General features: G+C 38.9%; 1 protein-coding gene across 29 annotated transcripts in view, besides 1 other annotated feature; it reads left to right on the top strand.

The window, feature by feature from the left end:
• Nucleotides 1–23,659, top strand: part of ATAD2B (ATPase family AAA domain containing 2B) — a 249,155-nt gene that overhangs the window by 72,827 nt on the left and 152,669 nt on the right. For all 29 annotated transcript variants that reach the window (XR_001738780.3, NR_125717.2, XR_001738782.3 and 26 more), the window contains one exon: nt 20,219–20,378. Coding sequence is in view for 26 of the 29 variants with exons in the window: in XM_047444799.1 (XP_047300755.1) it covers nt 20,219–20,378 (160 nt within the window). In the remaining 3 variants the exon portion in view is untranslated. The remainder of the gene's footprint in view (nt 1–20,218; nt 20,379–23,659) is intronic.
• Nucleotides 3,250–3,299: an enhancer, noted in NCBI's record as "active region_15416". NCBI's record gives its function as "activates an Ori minimal core promoter by ATAC-STARR-seq in GM12878 lymphoblastoid cells {active_cell/tissue: GM12878}" and the evidence as "EXISTENCE:reporter gene assay evidence [ECO:0000049][PMID:35858748]".

Genomic DNA, 23,659 nt, shown 5'->3' with positions numbered 1-23,659 from the left:
AGGTATGGACTGAAGTTTATTTTTTTAATACAGGTATTCTTTTTTTTTCTTTGAGACGGAGTGTCACTCTGTTGCCCAGGCTGGAGTGCAGTCGCGCGATCTCAGCTCACTGTAGCCTCCACCTCCCAGGTTCAAGTGATTCTTGTGCCTCAGCCTCCTGAGTAGCTGGGATTACAGGTGTGTGCTACCATGCCTGGCGAATTTTTGTATTATTAGTAGAGGTATGTTTCACCATGTTGGCCAGGCTGGTCTCGAACTTCTGACCTCAGGTGATTCTCCTGCTTCGGCCTCCCAAAGTGCTGGTATTACAGGCATGAGCCACCATGCCCAGCCTATTTTTTTATACAGATACTCATTTGTTCCAGAACCATATATTGAAGAGTTTACTTTGTTAAATTTCTTGGCACGTCTTTGACAAAAATTGACCATATAAATGTGTGTCTATTTCTAGATTTGTTAGTTGATTCCATTGATCTACAGGTCTATCCTTATACCACTGTCTTGATTAATGTTCATTTTAGTATAAGTCCTCCAAATTTGTTCTTTTTCAGAATTGTTGTAGTCATCTATTATCTTTCCATTTACATTTCTAAAGCCTCTTGTCAGTTTCTTTAGAAAAGACTGTTGGGATTTATTTGGGATTGCAATTAATCCTTCGATCTATTTGGGAAGAATTGCATCCTTATTCGTCTTTCAGTCTATGAACATGGTAATTCTGTTCATTTATTTAGGTATTCTTTAATTTCCTTTTCCTGTGTCTTATGGTTTTAGCATAAGGATCTTAGGCATCTTTTGTTTAATGCATCCCTAAATACTTTATTGTTCATTTAATGTGAATGGAGTTTTGAAAGAAAATTTATTTTCTAATTGCTTACTGCTGGTTTATAAAAATACAACTGAGTTTATAGACTTTGTATCCACAACCTTGCTAAATTCATTTGTTAGTTCTATTAGCTATTTTGTGGTTTCCTTACGGTTTTATACATATACCTTATCTGCAAATAAAGGTACTTCTACTTCTTCCTTTCCAATCTATGTCTTTTATTTCTTTTTCTTATTTCTTTGGCTAGAATTCAGTTAAATAGTAATGGTGATAATGGAAATCACTGCCTGTTTCCTTCATTGGCTGTAAAACATTGAGACTTTAACCATTGAATGTGATTTTAACTAAGTTTTTCATAGGTGCCCTTTATTACATTGAGGGATTTCCACTATATTCCTAGTTTGCTGTGAGAGTTTATTTTACTGGGATAGAGTACTGAACTTTGTAACATATTTTTTTTTCTGTCTCTTTTGAATTGATCATATGGCTTTTCTCCTGTATTCTATTAAGGTAGAGCATTATTTTGATTGAATTTTAGATTTTTTTTTTTTTTTGGAGATGGAGTCTCGCTCTGTCGCCCATGCTGGAGTGCAATGGCGTGATCTCGGCTCACTGCAACCTCCACCTCCTGGGTTCAAGTGATTCTCTTGCCTCAGCCTCCCGAGTACCTGGCATTACAGGTGTCTGCCACCGTGCCTGGCTAATTTTTGTGTTTTTAGTAGAGACAGGGTTTCACCATGTTGGTCAGGCTTGTCTTGAACGCCTGACCTCAGGTGATCCACCTGCCTCGGCCTCCCGAAGTGCTGGGATTACAAGTGTGAGCCACTGCGCCTGGCCTGAATTTTAGATAGTAAACTAACTTTGCATTCTTAGAATAAACCTCACTTGCTCATAATATATTGTCTTTCTTAAAAAATTATTGGATTCCACTTGCTAATATAAAAAGTTTTATTATCTGTATTAATGAGATTTTGATCTGTAATTACTCTTAAAATATCTGCATCTGGTTTTGGAATCAGGTAATTTTGATGTGTATTAGATGAGATATACACTGGGTGTGATGGTGCATGCCTGTAATCTCAACACTTTGAGAGGCTGAGGCAGCAGGATCTCTTGAGTCTAGGAGTGCAAGAGCAGCCTGGGCAACATAGTGAGACCCTGTCTCTTAAAAAAAAAAAGATGAGATGGCATTCCCTCTTTCTCTATTTTCTGAAAGTGTTTGTGTAAGTTTGATGTTATTCATTTCTTAAGTGTTTGAGAGAATTCACCAGTGAAAATACCTGGGCCTGGAGTTTTGTTTATGGAAAGGTTTTTGATTACAAGTTAAATTTCTTCAGTTGATACAGGGCTGTTCAAGTTTTCTATTTATTCTTAGGTCAGTTTTGTTAGTTTGGTAGTTTATCTTTAAAGGAATTTGTTCATTTCACCTAAGTCAAGAAATTTACATACATTTTTTCCTACTATTCTGTTATCTCCTTAATGCCTAAATAGTCTGCGGTAGTATTCTTTTCATTTCCGATGGTGATAACCTGTGTTTTCTCTTTTTTTTTTTCTTGATTACTCCGGCTAGAGGATTATCAATTTTATTGGTCCTTTCTCCCCCAAAGAGGCAACTTCTGTTTTCATAGATTTTCTACTATTATTTTTGTTTCCAATTTTATACTACCTTTTTTCTTATATTTTTAAAAATTAGTAGACTGAGGGGGATTTGTAGGCAGAGTATAAAAGATTTTTTAGGGCAGTGAAAATAGTCTGTGTTATACTGTAAGAGTGGATCCACATCATGATATGTTTGTCCAAACCCATAGAATGTATATCATCAAGCGTGAACCTTAATGTAAACTGTGGACTTTGTAGATTGTGATGTGTCATTGTAGGTTCATCAGTTGAAATAAGTGCACCACTCTGTTGGGGCATGGGTATACATATGAAGGGGCAGGCGGGGGACGTATGAAAGTCTCTGTATTTCCTTCTCAATTTGGCTGTTAACCTAAAACTGCCCTAACAAATGGTCTTAAAAATAGACTATTCATGACTGGGCACAGTGGCTCACACTTGTAGTCCCAGCACTTTGGGAGGCCAAGGACAGTGGATCTCTTGAGCTCAGCAGTTTGAGACCAGCCTGGGCAATGTGGCAAAACCGTGTCTCTACTAAAAGTACAAAAATTAGTTGGGTGTGGTGTGCCTCTCGTCCTAGCTACTTGGGAGGCTGACGTGAGAGGATCACTTGAGCCTGGGGAGGTCAAGGCTGCAGTGAGCCACAATCGTGCCACCGAACTACAGCCTAGGTGAGAGAGTGAGGCCCTGTCTCAGAAAACAAAAAATCTCTATAAAACTGGGTAGCTTAGAAATAGCAGAACATTATTTGTCATATTTCTGGAGGCTGGGATGTCCAAGATCAGGGTGCCAGCAGATTTAGTGTCTGGTGAGGACCTGCTTTCTGGTTCTGATGACTTCTCTTGTGTCCTTAAATGGTAGAAAAGACCAGCTAGCTTTTTCAGGTCTCTTTTATGAAGGCAGGAATCCTCTTTATGAGGGTTTTGCCCTTGTGTCCTAATTACCTCCCAAAGGTTCCACCTCTTAACACTCTTAACACCTTAGCTCTTAACTCTTAATACCTCTTAACAACATTACATTGGTGATTAGGTTTCAATGTGTGAATTTTAGGGGAATAGAAACATTCCATTCATAGCAGGCAGTTTTAGGGTTTCAACAAATGTGTAATGACACGTATCTGCTCTTACAGTATCATACAGAATATTTTCACTTCCCCCAAATCGTCTATTCATTCATCCCCCCTTCTCTTCTGCCCTGCAGAGCCCTCCCTATCTCCCCAGCAACCACTGATCTTTTTACTATCTCCATAATTTTGCCTTTTCCAGAATGTCATATAGTTGGACTCAAACAGTATGTAGTTTTTTCAGATTGGCTTCTTTTATATAGCAGTATGTATTTCAGGTCTCCCAAGTCTTTTCTGTTTGTTTTTAATTTAACTCCCTTTTTCAGATTAAGATGGAAGCTTAGAAATTGATTGAAACTTTTCTTTTTTTCTAATATAGGCATTGACACCTGTAAATTTCCCTCTAAGCAATGCTTTAGCTACATCCCACAGTTTTTGACATGTATTCACTGTCATTCAGTTCAAAATAATTTCCAATTCCTCTTGTCATTTTTTCTTTGACACAGTCATTGTGTATTTAATTTAGATGTGTATTTAATTTACAAATAGCTGTGGTTATTTTTCCTGATTATTTTATTGTTATTTACTTCTAATTTAGTTTTATTGTGATCTAGAGATCATAACTCTTAAAGTCATTTTTTTTTTTTTTTTTTTTGAGACGGAGTCTTGCTCTGTTGCCCACTCCAGCAGTGGCGCGATCTCAGCTCACTGCAAGCTCCGCCTCTCGGGTTCAGGCCATTCTCCTGCCTCAGCCTCCTGAGTAGCTGGGACTACAGAGGCATGCCACCACACCCAGCTAATTTTTTTTGTATTAAAGTCATTTTTAAATTTATTGCATTCTCCTTTATGTCCCAGTGTATCCTGTGAATTTGCATTCTGCCATTTATGGTATAGTGTTCTATAAATATAAAATAAGACAAGGCATTAATAGTGTTAAGCAGACTCTTTTGTGGGGTTTTATTTTTTTGAGACGGAGTCTCACTCTGTCGCCCAGGCTGGAGTGCAGTGGCTCTGTCTGGCTTACTGCAACCTCCGCCTCCAAGGTTCAAGTGATTCTTCTGCCTCAGCCTCCTGAGTAGCTGGGATTACAGGCATGCACCACCATGCCCAGCTAATTTTTGTATTTTTGTAGAGATGGGGTTTCACCATGTTAGCTAGGCTGGTCTTGAACTCCTGACTTCAAGTGATCTGCCTGCCTCGACAGGCAGTGCTGGGATTACAGGCGTGAGCCACTGTGTCTGGCCTCTTTTGTTTTCTTACAGATGTTTAGGTCTAATTCTATTGATTGCAGAGACAAATATGTTAAAATGTCCAGCTATAATGAATTCTTTGTCCCTTTAATTCTGCTAGTTTTTGTCTCACATATTTTGAAATTTTATATTAGTTTCATACACATTTATTGCATCTTTATGTTGATGTTGCTTTCTTATATTATGAAATGTCCATGTTTATCTTGTAATACACTTAATTTTGAAATTTATTTTTATCAGATAATAATTCACCTATTCTAGACTTCATGCTGTTTGTGTGGTATATTTTTTGCCATTAACTTGCTTTCAACCTGTGTTGTTCATAGACTATATAAAGTTGGGTCTTATTTTCTTAATTGCATTGTCTCTTAATTTTAATTTGACTGTTTAGTCAATGTTTAATGTAATTATTGATATATTTGAATTGGGGATCATTTCATTTCCATTTTCTATTTGTGTCTGCTGTTTTCTTTTTCTGTTTCTTTTTTGCCTTTTTAAAAAACACTTTGAAACTTTGAAAGTTTTTTTTTAGAGTCTCAATTTTGCTATTGAGTTTTAAAAAGAGCTTTATTGAGGTATAATATATATACTATATGTATGTACACAATATTGACATTGATAAAGAGTAAAACTTGGAAGGTTTTAACATACATATATACTTGTGAAGCCATAACTACAGTCAAGACAATGAAAATACCATTTCCTTCAAAATGGACACTTATACATTTAGTGTGATTATTGATATGGTTAGGTTTAAATTTATCATCTAGATGATTTTCTCTTAGCCTGTTTCTTGTTTTCCCTTTTCCTATTGTTCCACCTTCATTTGGATTAGTTGAATATTTTTTATGATTCCAGTTTGTTTCCATTGCTGGCTTATTAGCCATTACTGTTTATTATTTTCATAGTAACTTTAGGGTTTATGGTATATGTCTTTAACTTGTAACCATCTACCTTCAATTGATGATAGGCCATTTCACATATAATATGGGAACCTTGAAATAGTATACTTGCATTTTTCTTCTCCTGAGGTTTGTGCTATTGTCATACATTTTTTATTTTTTGAGACAGAGTCTCACTCTGTCACCCAGGCTGGAGTGTAGTGGCGCAGTCTCGGCTCACTGCAACCTCTGCCTCCCGGGTTCAAGCAGTTCTCCTGCCTGAGCCTCCTGCGTAGCTGGAATTGCAGGTGCACGCCACCATGCCTGGCTAATTTTTGTGTTTTTAGTAGAGACACGGTCTCGAGCTCCTGACTGCAAGTGATCCGCCTGCCTTGGCCTACCAAAGTGTGGGGATTATAGGTGTGAGCCATTGTGCCTGGCCTTGTACATTTTATTTTTAAAACTTTAAAAACTTTTGAAGAAATGTAAATAAAAATATCTTAAATATTTTTTATACTTACCATTTCTGGTGCTCTCTATCCTTTTGTAGATGTTCATATTTCCAGTTAGTATCAGTTTCTTTATGTATACGTTTCTTACAGTGTGGGCCTGCAAGTGACAAGTTCTTTTGGCTTTTCCATATCTGAAAACACTTTTTTTTTTTTTTTTTGGGATGAAGTCTCACTCTGTTGCCCAGGTCAGAGTGCAGTGGTGCGATCTCGGCTCACTGCAACCTCCGCCTCCTGGGTTCAAGCGATTCTCCTGCCTCAGCCTCCCGAGTAGCTGGGGCTACAGCTGCGTGCCACCACGCCTGGCTAATTTTTGTATTTTTTTTTTTTTAGTAGAGATGGGGTTTTACCATATTAGCCAGGCTGATCTTGAACTCCTGACCTTGTGATCCGCCCACATCGGTCTCCCAAAGTGCTGGGATTACAGGCATGAGCTACCACACCTGGCTGAAAGCACATTTTTTTTTTTTTAAAACAAAAGCAAAAACAGCTTTGTTTTTGAGACAGCGTCTCATTCCCTTCACCAAGGCTGTAGTGCAGTGGTGTGATCATGGCTCCCTGCAGCCTCGACTGATCCTCCCACCTTAGCCTCCCAAATAGCTGGGGCCACAGGTGTGTGTGCCACTGTACCCACCTGACTTTTTTTTTTGAGATGGAGTCTTACTCTGTCGCCCAGGCTGGAGTGCAGTGGCGCAATCTCTGCTCATGGCAACCTCCGCCTCCCAGGTTCAAGCCACTCTCCTGCCTCAGCCTCCCAAGTAGCTGGAGCTACAGGTGTGTACCAACCACGCCTGGCTAATTTTTTCATTTTTAGTAGAGACAGGGTTTCACCATATTGGTCAGGCTGGTCTCGAACTCCTGACCTTGTGATCCGCCTGCCTCGGCCTCCCAAAGTGCTGGGATTACAGGCATGAGCCAAAGCGCCCAGCCACTTTTTGAATTTTTAGTAGTGATAAGGTTTCACCATGTTGCCCAGGCTAGTCTCAAGCTCCTGGGCTCAAGTGATATGCCCGCCTCACCCTCCTGTGTCTGGCCAAAACAGCTTTATTGAGGTATATTTATATGTCATAAAATTTGCTCATTTTAAGTGTATAGTTTAGTAATTTTTAGAGTACCTCAACAAAGTGGTACAACTATTGATATAAATCAATTTTAGAACATCTTTCTACCCCTAATAAGATCCAGCATGAGGTGGGGTGCAGTTACTCTTGCTTGTAATTCCAGCACTTTGAGAGGCTGAGGCAGGCAGATCGCTTGAGCCCAGGAATTTGAGACCAGCCTGGCCAACATAGTGAAACCCAGTCTCTACAAAAACTACAAAAATAAGCTGGGTGTAGTGGTGCATGCCTGTGGTCTCAGAGACAGGGTTTCACCATATTGGTCAGGCTGGTCTCGAACTCCTGACCTTGTGATCCGCCTGCCTCGGCCTCCCAAAGTGCTGGGATTACAGGCATGAGCCAAAGCGCCCAGCCACTTTTTGAATTTTTAGTAGTGATAAGGTTTCACCATGTTGCCCAGGCTAGTCTCAAGCTCCTGGGCTCAAGTGATATGCCCGCCTCACCCTCCTGTGTCTGGCCAAAACAGCTTTATTGAGGTATATTTATATGTCATAAAATTTGCTCATTTTAAGTGTATAGTTTAGTAATTTTTAGAGTACCTCAACAAAGTGGTACAACTATTGATATAAATCAATTTTAGAACATCTTTCTACCCCTAATAAGATCCAGCATGAGGTGGGGTGCAGTTACTCTTGCTTGTAATTCCAGCACTTTGAGAGGCTGAGGCAGGCAGATCGCTTGAGCCCAGGAATTTGAGACCAGCCTGGCCAACATAGTGAAACCCAGTCTCTACAAAAACTACAAAAATAAGCTGGGTGTAGTGGTGCATGCCTGTGGTCTCAGAGACAGGGTTTCACCATATTGGTCAGGCTGGTCTCGAACTCCTGACCTTGTGATCCGCCTGCCTCGGCCTCCCAAAGTGCTGGGATTACAGGCATGAGCCAAAGCGCCCAGCCACTTTTTGAATTTTTAGTAGTGATAAGGTTTCACCATGTTGCCCAGGCTAGTCTCAAGCTCCTGGGCTCAAGTGATATGCCCGCCTCACCCTCCTGTGTCTGGCCAAAACAGCTTTATTGAGGTATATTTATATGTCATAAAATTTGCTCATTTTAAGTGTATAGTTTAGTAATTTTTAGAGTACCTCAACAAAGTGGTACAACTATTGATATAAATCAATTTTAGAACATCTTTCTACCCCTAATAAGATCCAGCATGAGGTGGGGTGCAGTTACTCTTGCTTGTAATTCCAGCACTTTGAGAGGCTGAGGCAGGCAGATCGCTTGAGCCCAGGAATTTGAGACCAGCCTGGCCAACATAGTGAAACCCAGTCTCTACAAAAACTACAAAAATTAGCTGGGTGTAGTGGTGCATGCCTGTGGTCTCAGCTACTCGGGAGGTTGAGGTGGGAGGATTGCTTGAGCCCAGGAGGTCGAGGCTGCAGTGTGTTTTGATTGTGCCACTGCACTCTAGCCTGGGTGAGAGAGTGAGACACTGTCTCAAAAAAAAAAAAAAAAAAAAAAAAAAATTCCAGCATGCCCATTTACAGTAAATTCCTTTTCCTGCCCACAGCCAACCACTAATCTAATCTCTGTATAGATTGGCCTTTTCTAGACATTTTGTATTATTAAAATCATATACTATGTGGTTTCTTGTGTCTGGCTTTTTTTTGCTAAGTATAATGGTTTTGAGGAACATCCATGATATAATATGGGTCAGTATTTTGTTCTTTTTTATTGCTGAACAGTATTCTTATTGTATGGCTATACAACACACTGGACGGACATTTAGGTTGTTTCCAGTTTGGGCTATTATGAATATTACTGTGAACGTTCAATGCAAATGTTTGTGTAGAACATATATTTTTTATCGCTCTTGGGTAGAGATAAGGAGTGAAACTGCTAGGCAGGATGGTAGTTTTATGTTTAACTTTTTGAGAACTTAGCCTTTGTTTTTGAAGGGTATTTTCTCTGGGTATAAAATTTGAAGTCGACACTTTTTTCTTTTTCTTTCCGTGCTTTAAAGATGTTGGTCTTTCTTCTTCTCATTTGTATTGCTTCAGTAATGAATTATGCTTTTATTTCTATTTTTGTTTCTTTGTATGTAATGTATCTTTTTTCTGGGTACATTTAGGTTTTTTTTTCCTTCTTGACTGGTTTTGTGCAATTTAATGATATATCTTGGTGGAGTTTTCTCCCCTTTTCTCATTCTTGAATTGAGCTTCTTGGGTGTGTTTTTCATCAAACTTGTAAAATTTTTGGCCACTATTTCTTCATTATTTTTTCTGTCGTCCCCACCTCCTGTCTCCTCTTTCCTTTTGGGACTCTAATTACACATATGTTAAGTTTCTTGATGTTGTCCCATAGTTTGCCGAAACTTTGTTAATTTTGCTTTAAATTATCTTTTCTGTGTTTCATTTTGGTTAGTTTCTGTTGCTGTGAGTTTTAGTTCACTAATCTTTTCTTTTGAAATGTCTAATCTGCTATTAATCCTATTCATTATGTTTTTGCCTCATGTTTTTGTTTTCATCTATACATATACATATAGAACTTTTCAATATCTGGAATATAGTTATAATGCCTACTTTAATGCCTTTGGCAATTCTAATATTGTATTTCTGGGTTAGTTTTATTTTATTGATTTTTCTCATTACGGATTGTGTTTTCCTGTTTCATTGCATGCTTTGCAGTATTTATTGGATGCCAGATGTAACTTTTACCTTGTTGAGTGCTAGCTATGTTACTGTAAGTAGATATTCTTGAAGTGGTTTTGTTGTGTGTTTTTTTTTTTCCTTTTGAGACACAGTTAATCAACTTGAAAACAGTTTGATTCTTTGGAATCTTGCTTTTAAGATTTGTCGGCTGGGCGCAGTGGCTCATGCCAGTAATCCCAGCACTTTGGGAGGCCGAGGCGTGTGTATCACCTGAGGTCAGGAGTTTGAGACCAGCCTGGCCAACATGGTGAAACCTTGCCTCTACTAAAAATACAAAAAATTAGCTGGGCATGGTGGCGGGTGCCTGTAATCCCAGCTACTTGGGAGGCTGAAGCAAGAGAATCACTTGAACCTGGGAAGTGGAGGTTGCGGTGAGCTGAGATGACGCCACTGCACTCCAGCCTGGGTGACAGAGTGAGACTCTGTCTCAAAAAAACAAAAACAAAAACAAAGATTTGTGATACGGATCTTGAGTAGCCCTGAGTGTAGGACTAATTATTCCCTGCTACTGATGCAGTATCCTTTTATGTATTTATGGGCAATGACCTTTGAATCATGAGGTTTACCAGTTCGGTGGGTGGGAACTGGCACTATTCCTGGCTCTCTGTGAGTGTAGAGTACTCTTATTTCTAGTTCTTCTGAGTGTTTTTTTCCCCAAGCCTTGGGTAGTTTCATCACATGTATGCAGTGATTGGTGTTTAAATGAAGAGCTGAGGAGTTTTGTGTACATTTCCTGAGTTTGCTTTCTGTGGAGCAGTCTCCTCTGTGGTACTTTTTCCTGTAGACTCTAGTCGTCTTGGTCTCCCTGGAATCTCAACTCCGACTCTTCCGCTTAGTGAGTTAGCTGGCCTCTGCCAGGATTCCATCTGCCTGTATCACAGCCCGTAATTGGAGAGCCATTAATTAGATTGTTGTTCCCACATTTTGTAATATTTGGGTTTTCTCTTGCTGCTTTCAGTATCTTGCTCTGTATCTTTTACTTTCAACAGTTTAGCCATGACATGCCTCTGTGTGGCTTTCTTTGTGTTTATTCTGATTTTGTGTCTACAAATTTGTCATTTTTCAGTCTTTTTCTGTTTTCACCTTGGATAATTTTTGTCTGTCTTTAGTCAGTCTTCACTTATTTTTGCTTTGTCATGTCCATTTGGTTATGTTCATCCAACACATTTTTTTATTTCAGAAATTGTATTTTTCAGTCCTAGGACTTACATTTGATTGTTTTTCATTGTTTCTGTTTTTCCAATGTGATTTTCATGCATTTAAGCATGTTTTATTTTATTTAATTGAGCTTCGTTACAATAGTTGCTTTAAAATTCTGTTATGTTAGCTTCAACATTTGGTTTATCTCATGTTAGACCCACTTGGTTTTCTTTTCTCTTGAGAATGTGTTCTTTTTATTGGTTCTTAATTTGTTGGGCAGTTTTGGATTGTGTCCTGGATATTATTATTGTTAGTTTTTGGAGACTCTGGATTCTGTTATTTTTATTTTATGAGCCACATTTCCTTTTTCTTAGGAGACAATTTTCTGAGTTAGGCTTGAAATGCATTCAGTTTCTTAACTGGGAGCTTTGATCTCCTTTCAAACCTTTTGTCTTTAGCTAGATCCTTTGAGTCTGCTCCTTGCTTTGTTCAGGACCAGCTAGAGATCTGGGTAGACTGAGTTTGGGGTGTCCTTACTAGCTCTTGCCCTTTTGTGGTCCCCCTTATTCTTTAATATTAATAACTTCCTACCTTCTCTTTTCTAGACTCTTATGCTGAAAAGTTAATAAGGCACCCTCCCAACCCCTGTTGCATATTCTCTCTCCCCCTCACTGCAGTTAGTCCCAGACTAAAAGCTAGAGAGAAGGAAACTTACTTTTTCTTCTCCAAGTGACCATGAACTCCCACCGTGTTTCCATTCTCTGAGTTACCATGAACTCCCACCAGAACCCATCTGTCTCTGTTTACTCACCAGAAATGTCAGGTATATATTCATGTATTATAATGCATAGGCTTTGTAGTTGTTTTTTGAGGGGTGCTCTGATTGGGTCTTTATTATAACCTGCAAGTAGACCTCTTGGTTATCCAGTATGCAGGTTTGAATTTCTAGAGTAATCATTAGTAAAATAGAAACGTAATGTATAATCCCTAAATTATTAGTGGGGGAAAATAGAATAATTTTTAAAAGTCAATCCAAAAGCAATCAAGAAGAGAAGTGAGGGAAATCATATAACCGATGGGGAAAATAGCACAAAATATGATTATAGATTTAAACCCAAATATATCAATAATGACCTGAAATATAAGGGGAGTAAATGTTCTTGTTAAAAGACAAAGATTGTCAGATTGGCAAAAACAAAATATAATGATGTGTTGTTTATAAGTGAGACATCTACATGTAAGGATACAAAAAGGTTCAAAGTAAAATAGTGGAAAAAAATAGCACAAAAACAAATATTCATAGCAGCATTATTCACACTAGCCCAAAAGTAGAAATAACCCAAATGTCCATCAACTGATGAATAGGTAAATGAAATGTGATATATCCATACAATGAAATATTATTCAGCCTTAAAAAGGAATGAATTTCTGGATGAGTGTAGTGGCTCACGCTTGTAATTCCAGCAGTTTGGGAGGCCAAGGTGGGAGAATTGCTTGAGCCTAGGAGTTTGAGATCAGCCTGGGCAACATAACTAGATGCTGTGTCTACAAATAATAAAAAAATTAGCTGAGTGTCGTGGCCTGTGTATCTGGTCCCACCTACTCGGGAGGCTGAGATGGGAGGATTGCTTGAGCCTAGGAGGTCAAGGCAGTAGTGTGTTGTGATAATACTACCGTACTCCAGCCTGGGCAACAGAGTGAGACCCCATCCCTCCACAAAGAAAAGAAAAAAATTCTGACACATGCCACACCATGGATGAATCTTGAAGACATTATGCTATGTGGAATAAGCCAGACACAAAAGGCCACTTATTGTATGATTCTGTTTATATGAAATGTCGACAATAGTTAAATAGTGTAAAATTATATCACGTAAATACTAACAGTTGGTATTGCTACATTAATTTTAGACAAAATAAACCATAAGTCAGAAAGCATTACTGTGCATGTAAAAAGGAAATCTTATAATGATAAAAGGTTCAGTTTACTAGAAGATATAACAATTAGGCTGCACATGGTGGCTCATGCCTGTAATCCCAGCACTCTGGGAGGCTAAGGGTAGGAGGATCATTTAAGCCCAGGAATTCAAGACCAGCCTGGGCAACATAATGAGAACCCATCTGTACAAAAAAAAAAAAAAAAAAAAATAGCCATGCATGATAGTGCATGCCTGTCCTGTCACTGTCCTATCACTATCAGTAGCCCTGCCTACTCAGGAGGCTGAAGTAGGAGGATTGCTTGAGCCTGGGTGGTCGAGGCTGCAGTGAACCATGATCGTGCCACTGTACTCCATTCTGGATGACAGAGTGAGACCCTGTCTTAAAAGTAACAATTTAAAATCTGCAATTCCCTAATAACCATAGTTCAAACTATGTAAAACAAAAACTGACAGAACTACAAGGTAGAAGAGTCAAATTGATCATCATTGTGGGAGAGATCCTGTACATCTCTCAGTAATTGATAGATCAGGCTGAGCAAAAAAATCATTTAATGCTCTATAGATTAATTGGAACCACCACATTTCAGGAATCTGATCTAATGGGCATACTTATCTAAGACAAATATAGAATGGACACTGTTTTCAAACATATACCATATTTATGAAAATTGATCATATAATGTGCCTTAAAGCACATTTTAACTAATTTTCTAAAGTTTGGTAATATACAAAACAGAAAAATAACAAAAAGCAGATAATTTTATGTTCATAATTAAGAACTATAGCTCTAAAGTCTAAATGACCTGTGTTGTAAAGACAAAAATCGTAGCCAACAATATGTGAACGGAAAACAAAGATATAGTAGAAATCAAGAAGGCCAAAAGTTGGTTCTTTGAAAAAAACTAATAAAGTTGGTTCTTTGAAAAAACTGACGAGCCTCTGGCATGCTTGGTCATGATAAGAAGAAGACAGATAAGCAGTATTAGGAATGCAAAATGTAATGTTTTGGTTTTTTTAGACATCAAAGGTTAAGAGCATAAAGGCCTAAGCTTAAGAGGTGAAAGGAGAACTTTTAGAAAAAACATAGGGGAAAATCTCTATGACTTGTATGTCAATGTTTATAGCAGGTTTTTTGTAATACCCCAGAACTGAAAACAATCCAGGTGGCCATCAACATGTGAATGGATAAACAAATTGTGGCATATCTATATAATGGAATATTACTTAGCAATTAAAAAGAATAAACTATTATCAAACCAGTAACATGGATGAATCTCACAATATGCCAAATGCAAGAATCTAGGAATAAAAAGAGTACTTACTGTATGATCCCATGTATATAAAATTTTAAGTAATGCAAAGTAATCTGTAGTGACAGAATACAGATGAATGGTTCCCTAGGGGTTGAGTAAAAGAGGCCAAGGAGGGTCAGTATGGGTGGAGAACTAAGGAGTATGAGGAAGAACATAATGGATATGTTAACTTATTTTAGTTGTGGTGATGGTTTCACAGGGTATACATACTTCAAAACTTACCAAAATGTATACTTTAAATATGTGCAGGGTTTTGTATGTCAATTATACCTTCATAAAACTTGGTATGAGAAAATTCATTGGAAACTAGTCTCACTTGTGAACATGTATATAAAAATCCTAAACAGATTGGTAGAGCTTTACATCAGGAAGATATAAAAAGGATAATATATTATGACTAAATTGATTTTATTTCAAATATACAAGGTTTATTTAATATGAGGGAAGTCAGTTAATGTTAATTTATCACATTTTCATATTAGAGAAAAATCAAGATGATCACCTCAATAGATGTGGAAGAAATGTTTAATAAAATTCAATATTTAGTCATAATAAAGTCTTCATCTTAGAGAACAAGGAATATAAAGTATTTCCTTAAAGGTAGCTGCAGAAAAACTTACAACAAACAGACTTAATGTTCAAACATGAAATCTTTTCTTATAATATGGGGAATATGACAAGCATGTTTGTTTTGCTATGAACACTTCTGACCAATACTGTTCTATAGATCGCAGTCAGTGTAGTCTGGCAAGACAAAGCTATACAAGATATGCATATTGAAGAGGAAAAAACAGTACTCTTATCATTTGTAGATGATGCAATTATGTATGTAGGAATTGCAAAGCAACCTGTAGATAGATGCTAAGAAGGTTAGACCAATCAATATAAACATAAATTTTGTATTTTTGTTGCTAGTAATTGTGTAAAAATGAAAAGTTACTGTTTGCAATCTCATTAGCAAAAAGTTTCTATGAGTAAGTCTAAGAAGTCTCATGTTACATTTATGCAGAAAATATTAAAACTTGACTGGCAAACATTAAAGATTAAATAAATGGAAAGAAATATTTTTCAATTATCTTTTCTTCTATAAGGTGGGAGCACTTGCTCTACTAGTTATTAAGGCCTCTTAGGGTTAAGAAAATTTGATATTGGCAGAAGACTAGACAAATAGATGAATGGAACGGAGCCCAGAGCCATAAATAAATGCACACACATATGGATGCCTAATTTATGGTAAAAGAGGCAGTGCAGAAAAGATGACCTTTTCTATAAATAATGCTGGGAAAATTGGATATCTCTTTGGTGGGAAAAAAAACCTGGATTCCTCTACACATCATACAAAACAATTCATTTCATTGGATTTTAGATCTATATTTGAAAGGTGAAACAACACTTTTAGAAGGTAATGTAGGAGACAGAATTTGAGACAAGCAAGTAGGCCTTGAATATTGTGTCAAATAGTTTGGACTTTTAATTTCCCTACATAATAGGAGTTGCTAAAGGATTTTGATCCAAGGGTTGGCCATTCAGATTTTTTTTTTTTAAAGACAACTTTTGGTATAATTTAAGTTAGATTGTAATTCTGTTTCTGGCCATGTCTGAGACTTTATCGTCTGAAGACTTTTCAGTTACAAGACACTTAAAAATGCAGATAAATTCCAACAAACACTTGAAATGACAATCTGTAATTGGAAGATACCAAGGAAAGATTGGAGGTTAAATATGAATTTATATTTGAGGCTACTTATATTCCCCACCCCCTTTATATCTTGAATGAGAAACCTAGGTCACTAATTTTCAGTTATTCATTTTGAAAAGAAGAATCACACATCCTTCCTTCACACATACACTGGGTATCTAGCATTTTGATTCCGCTTATAGATTTTGGAAACACAGCTAGAGCAGTGTGTTTGGGAAGGAGAATGATTTCTTTAACATGTTGAACATATTGGAGAAGTTATTTTAGGCAGGTGTTAGCAATAAGAGTAAAGGAATAGAAATGAGAGCAGTTGGAAAACACTAGAAAGAACATTGTTACTAGAACTACAGTTTCTGTTATAATTAGGCATGAAACACTTATATTCAGAAATGTTTAAGTCATACTTTTTAAAAACTACTCTAAAATATGCAGAAAATAATTTTGAGTTGAACATAAAGTGGTAGCCATTCTAAAGAAATTGTCCAAAGGTGTAACGATAATGTAAATCTAATATAATAGAAACTAAAGCGTCATATACATTTCCAGACATTTAAAAACCCCCTAGATTGCTATCTATTAAAAACAAACTACTGTATTTTTTCTTTTTAAGAAAAACAGCTTTATTGAGATACAGTTCACAGTGATGGCAGCGGCAGGCCATCTGGAGTGGCCACCATCATCATGCCTGCTGTATTGGGGAGGTGTAGCCGGGGCTGCACATTCCACGGAGCTTTTGGAAACTGGGGACAAGTGGGAATCCCACCCCTTTTGAGTCGGTGGGATGGGAGCTCCCTGGGTGCAGCTGCAGCCGCCCAAGTTGTGGCTGTGGACCTGGGCCTCCCTGTGCTCTTGCGGGGGCCTGGGTGCAGACAGGGGTCCAGCCCTCCCAGGTGCAGCTACAGCTGCCCAAGTCATGGCTGTGGAGCCTGGCATTCCTGCACTCTGGGGGGCCTGGGAAGGCTTCCCCTGTCCCTGCAGGATCAGAGGTGTCTGCTTCCACTGCCTGGCCTCTCCCCACTCCTGCGCCTGCTCCGATCTTGGAGCAAGATTGGGGCCAAGCCTGGGTGTTGTTGCAGCCTGGCTGGTTGTGCGCACTCTTGGGGTTAGTGCTACATGCCAACCCCCTGCTGCCACAGCCCCCTCCAGACTTTGGGTGCCGATGAGCTTGGGTGGGAAGCTGAGGGTGTGGCTGAGGGCAGCTTGGCACTGGCCTGCAGGTGCCCCTTGGCACGAACAGCTTGGGCACCATGAATGGCAGCAGGAGGCAGACAAAGCTCCTGGGCAGAAGGGGGTGGGTCCGTGGTGAGACCCACCTTCAGGCTAGGGAGGGCCTGAAGGTTGGCCAGGCTGCCAGTCCCACAGACTGGAGTGGGAACTTGTGGTGCTTTTTCTGGGCCTGCCCATGGCCACCCCATGGACCAATTGGTGTGCACTTCCTTCCCCCGAGTCCCATAAAAGCCCCGGCTCAGCCAGAGCTAAGTGGACATCAGGAGGACCAACTTCAGAGAGGAGCTACCCCCTCCAGGGCCACCTCTCTGCTGAGAGCTGCAGATGTCAGGATGACCAGCTGCAGAGAGGAGCTACCCACTCCAGGACCTCCTCTCTGCTGAGAGCTGAACAACACTCAACATGACGACCTGCCTGTAGAGAGGAGCTGCCCACTCCAGGATCTCCTCTGAGCTATTCTGTCACTCAATAAAGCTCTTCTTCGCCTTGCTCACCCTCCACTTGTCTGCATATCTTGTTCTTCCTGGACTCAGGACAAGAACTCGGGACCTGTCAGATGGCAGGGCTGAAAGAGCTATAATACAAACAGGGCTGAAACATGCCCCTTGCTTGCCATTTTGTGGGTGAAGAGGAGAGAAGAGCTGCAGCCCTTCAGGGAGCCCAGACCTGGGAGCTCCCTGAGCCAGGGCTGTGACTTTGGAGCCCTGCAGTTCCTGGAGTCTCCAAGCTTCCAGGCACCACCACGTTCCCCAGTGGCAGCCGTGGAAGCTGCTTGCAGTGTGCCTGGTCCAGCCACAGCCTCACAGAGAGCCAGCACCTGTGCCAACACCTGGAGCTGCCCGCCCCGGTGCAGCAGCCGGCATGCCAGACTGTGTGCAGTGGCTGGACCTCACACTTGCTCTCTCAAACACCCCTTGCTGCCCCATGCCTGGCTTGCCCCTGGCAGGCATGGGATACAGGCTGGTAGTGTGAGCCGAGCGCAGTCAGGTCGAGTGGGTGGAATGAGCCCAGCAGGTCTAAGCAAAACTGAGGCAGAGGCACTACCAGCCACAGAGGTTTCCAGCCAGAAAAGCGACCCTGACAAGGACCCCATAATAAGAGCTGTACAGTTCACTCATTTTTTTTTTTTTTGAGATGGAGTTTCGCTCTTGTCACCCAGTCTGGAGTACAATGGTGCGACTTCAGCTCACTGCAACCTCCACCTCCTGGATTCAAGTGATTCTCCTGCCTCAGCCTTCCAAGTAGCTGGGATTACAGGTGCGTGCCACCGCACCGAGCTAATTTTTGTATTTTTAGTAGAGATGAGGTTTCACCATGTTGGCCAGGCTGGTCTCGAATTCCTGACCTCAGACGATCCACCCACCTCAGCCTCCCAAAGTGCTGGAATTACAGGTGTGAGCCACTGTGCCCAGCTCAGTTCACTTATTTAAACTGCATAGTTCAGTGACTTTCAGTATATTTACAAAGTTGTGTAACCATCACTACAGTCAATGTTAGAACATTTTCATCACCCCAGAAACCTTAAACCCTTTAGCCATAACTCCCAACCTTCCCCTCATCCTTCCAAGCTCTAGGCAACTTCTAATATACTTTCTTTTTCTATAGATTTGCCTGTTTGGGATATCTTGTATAAATGGAATCATATAATATGTGGCCTTTTGTGTCTAGCTTCCTTAGCAAAGTGATTACAAGATTCATCCATGTTGTTGTAGCTGTTGGTACTTCGTTTATTTTTATTGAGGAATACTGTTCCATTGTATGGATATACCACATTTATTCTATTTATCAGTTGATGGACTTTTGGGTTTCTTCCACTTTTTTGGCTATTATGAAAAGTGTTGCTGTGAACATTAGTGTAAAAGTTTTTTTGTGGACATTGCTGGATCATTTGGCAACTCTTACGTTTAACAGAGGAACTGCAATACTCTTTTTCCAAAGAGGAACATCATTTTACATTCCCACCCATCAGTCAGTGTATGAGTGTTCCAGCTTCTCTACATCCTCATCAAAAGCTGTTAATTATCTGTCTGATTATAGTCATCCTGGTGGTTTGGAAGTGGCATCTCATTTGGTTTAATTTGCTTATGCTTAATGACTATTGATGTGGTTTTGTGTATCGTCTTTGGAGAAATGTCTATACAAATTTTTTGCCTAATTTTTTAAAAATATTTTTCGTTTTTGGAGATGGGGTCTCACTGTGTTCCCCAGGCTAATCTCAAACTCCTGGGTTCAAGCAATCTGCCCACCTCAGCCTCCCAAAGTGCTGGGATTATAGGCATGCACCACCGCGCCTGGCCCTTTTGCCTACTTTTAAATTTTATTATTTGTCTTTGTATTGTTTAGTTGTTCAGTTGTAATGTTCATTATATATATTATCAAATATATGATTTACAAATATTCTTAGGTTATATTTTTACTTTCCTGATAGTATCCTTTGAAGAAGAAAAGTTTTTAATTTTGATGAAGTCCATTTTTTTTTTGGTTGCCAAGGTTTAGGTGTCTACTATATTTTCTGAATGCCTTTGAAAATAATTTTTGTAAATCACTTGATCCTGCATTAAAATATAATCATGCTACAGTTATTTTGTTAGCATTAAAGACTGATAAGCCGGGTACCATGGCTCACGTCCGTAATCCCAGCACTTTGCGAGGCCGAGGCAGGTGGATTGCCTGAGGTCAGGAGTTCGAGACCAGCCTGACCAATATAGCGAAACCCCATCTCTACTAAAAATACAAAAATTAGCTGGGCGTGGTGGCGTGCGCCTGTAGTCCCAGCTACTTGGGAGGCTGAGGCAGGAGAATTGCTTGAACCCGGGAGGCGGAGATTGCAGTGAGCCGAGATTGCACCACTGCCCTCCAGCCTGGGCAACGGAATGACACTCCATCTCAAAAAAAAAAAAAAAAAAAAAAAAAAAGAAAGACTGATAAACGTTATTGTAAGCAGCAGTGTTTACAATTCTTTTAATTTTGCCTGAAAATTATTTTACAGCTCTATAGTATCAACCCTCCTTGCTCTTATGGATGGATTAGATAATAGGGGTGAAATTGTTGTTATTGGTGCTACAAACAGACTTGACTCTATAGATCCTGCACTCAGGAGACCTGGTCGTTTTGACAGAGAATTCCTCTTCAACCTGCCTGATCAAAAGGTAAGAGTTTTTGTTTTCAATATGTTAACATTTATATGTAATTCTACTATAAGGCATATGTTCTGAGGGTGATATTTTATGAATTTTCATTGTTCAGATTTTCTGCTTAAGGATATCTTAGCTAATGCTTTAAAAACCTATGTAATTATGGAACAGTTTTTTTCTATTAACAATTATAAGAAAGTTTGTGATTTTTAGGCAGCAAGAGGAAAGCTCTTGATAGATCACTGTAGATGCTTACTTGTGCTTTAGTTCTCCAGATTGTAGTAATTGTCCTGTATGGCAGTTTCTGTGTCCCTAGTTAGCCAAAGTAACTTTATTCTCATAAAATAATGTTTTTATAGAGTATTAGTGGGTTTATGAATAAGGACTCAGTACCTGAATTTTCATAGAAATTGCTATATTTAATTAAAAGCAACAAACTTTATTCATTATGGTATAAAGTTTTTTTAAAAGAATGTACTAATAATACAGGGTAATGTTTATCATTGATTCTGTAAATGTTATATGATATACAAATTTTTTTTTCCCAATTCAACTTCAAACTTTTAATATTATTCTTGGTTTGACTAGTATAATCTGACTGGCTTTTCATTAGAAACTCAAATTTGAGAGGAAGAGATACATGCAAAGGAGGTACTGTATGTGAATATGTATAGCTTTGTTTTTGGACCTCTATGTGAAATGCCTGGTTTACATACCTAGTTGTGAAAGTCTTAAGTGATTCGGACTGTATGGAAGACCATAGAGAAACAAAGGCAATGGCTTCCCTGTGTAGAGCAGTTCATACCTCAGTTTGACATCAGTCTCCACAGTCACCAGTAGTTGACTCAGATTTGGATTGACAATTCAATTTACAGGCTTTAAATTGGCACCAGGTTATTTAGCTTTGTCAGGACAGGAAACATAGCATATACAGCATTATTTTCATTGCCCAAGTGCAGCCTTCAGGAATGTATCAGTGCATATTGGTGTGTTTATTTGTAGTAGATAGGGCTGAAGTAGGTACAGTCTACTTCCACATGGGGAAGCATCAGCTTTTTTGTTTGGGACATCTAACAACAGTCCAAGCACAGCTTTTATACTCTTCAGTACATTGGGAAATGTGCTTAGTTCTGAGACACAGCACAGGAAAGCCATTTCCTTGATTTCCCATTTGTCTTCTGTACTATCTTAGCTAAGTAGGCCTCAGAGTCTATATGCCAATCACAGCCCTTACAGTCCAGGTTCAGTTCACACAAATCAAGGGTTTAACAGTAAACAAGGTTTAGAACAGCACTGTCTAATAGAATTTTCTGTGATGATGGAAACGTTCTATTTTGGCATTGTTCTTCGAGCAGCGTGCATTTTGGTAGACACTAGCCGTATGTGGCTATTGAGCACTTAAAATGTGGCTAGTGTAACTAAAGAACTGCATTTTAAATTTTATTTAGTCTTAGTTAATTTAAAATTTAAATAAAATGGCATTATGTGGCTCATGGCTTACTATATTGCACAGCATGGATCTTGAACATCGTTTTCCACATTAACTTTCCCTTTCTAACATTTCGAGGAAACAGTTTTGTGAGACTGAAATCTAAGTCATTCTTCTCAAGCCTGGGTCTGTGGAAAGGCCTATGCTGGCTGTTTACCTTTTTCCCTTAAATAGTTTTTAAGGTCCCGAGACTAGATGAGATTACCAAGTCTTCTCTCTTACAGAGCAGTCAGTAAGGTAAGAGGAAAACTAAAGACAGTGGGGTGTTCTGGTAGCCAAGTGAAGAAAATGTATCAATGAGGAGGGTGTGATTAACCATGTCACGTGTTGCTAAGTCCATTCAGCTAAGCACAGAAAATTCGTCATTGTATTTATCATGATGTAGGTCGTCAGTGAATCTGATGAGAACAGTTTCAGTTAGTAGTGGGTGCAAAAGCTTAATTGGAGTGTGTTAGTTCAAGAGAAAATGGGAAGGAATTGGAGGGAGTGAATATAGATATGTTTTAAAAAGAGTTTTTCTGCAAAGGGAAGCAAATAATTTAGGTGATATGATATTGAAGGAAGCAGGGGCAAGATAATGTGTTTCATTGTTTTCAAGATGGAAGAAATATCTAGTAGAAAAGGGAATTTTTATGTGAAATTGAGAGATGTCCTCAATAGGCAAAAAGTGATAGGATTTAGCGTAAAAGTGGTGTGAATGACTTTAGATAGGAGCTGGCTAGTTCATCTGTGACAACAGAGAGAAGACAGAATATTGTTGGCACACATGCTGATGGGTGGACATCTTTGGTGATTAGGATGTGGGGAGTCTGGGGAAGTTTTTTTCTGATTGCTTCAGTTTTCTCAGTGAATTGGGAGGCACGGTCATCAGCAGAGTGTGAAGATGTGCTGTGAAATAGTCTGCTAGGAGAAAGGCATAATGAACGGCCTAGGGAAGTATTAAGGGTAGTAATAAGGACCCATTTGGGTCATTAATTTAAAGTGATACCAGTCAGTGTCTCAGTCCTATGGTTTGGCCAATAGAATATCATGACTCTTGCTATTTCATTAAGTAAAAGATTAATAAAAGTAAATCTTGGTTTCAAATTTTAATAATTTTGTTAACTATTTGCATAAAATAGTACACATCTTCTATATGCAATAATGCTTTTTAATTTCTTTTATTTTCCTTTATCATCATTTTTATGATTGTTGTAAGTAATATATATTTGTATGTGTACTTGTGGATTCTGAAAAATGAGGAGCTTGAATTTGCCTTTGATGTTTAATAGTAGAGGAAGGTACTTTCTATTAGAGGAAGCCCTTTGACTTACTATTCGGTTTGCCATATAGAGTAAAATACATAATGAACAGTTCTTGATTTCTACATTTAAGTATTTTTTTCTTCATTCCATGTCTTGTTTTTAGTATGACAAAAGGAAAGTGACTTTGATTGGGTTATATAGGGAAAGAGCATTATTAGGGACCTGAAGATAACTTGCTAACCTTAGATAATTAATTTCATTACTTTAAACCTCTTTTTAGGGAAAGGAGAGGATAAGAATGGATCTCTTTTTGGGATATCTTCCAGCATAATTTTTTTTTTACATGTTCTTTATTTTTTAAGGGTCTTGTAATCACCCTTAGCAGCACACTGCCTGTGCTGCTAATGAAGTTTGTATAGATTCTTAATGTCATCTTACAGAATATATATGCTGTTAGGTTGATATTTCTTTTGGACCTTCTTTTTTTAGTATCTGTTCAAGCAGATACTTCAAGTTGGAAGAAAATAAGTGTCATATCATTGCTTTAACTTTCATAGCTGAAT

The sequence above is a fragment of the Homo sapiens genome, chromosome 2, assembly GCF_000001405.40.
Source record: "Homo sapiens chromosome 2, GRCh38.p14 Primary Assembly".
In the NCBI taxonomy this organism is placed as follows: Eukaryota; Metazoa; Chordata; class Mammalia; order Primates; family Hominidae; genus Homo; species Homo sapiens.
This window is presented reverse-complemented; position numbering and strand designations above follow the sequence as displayed.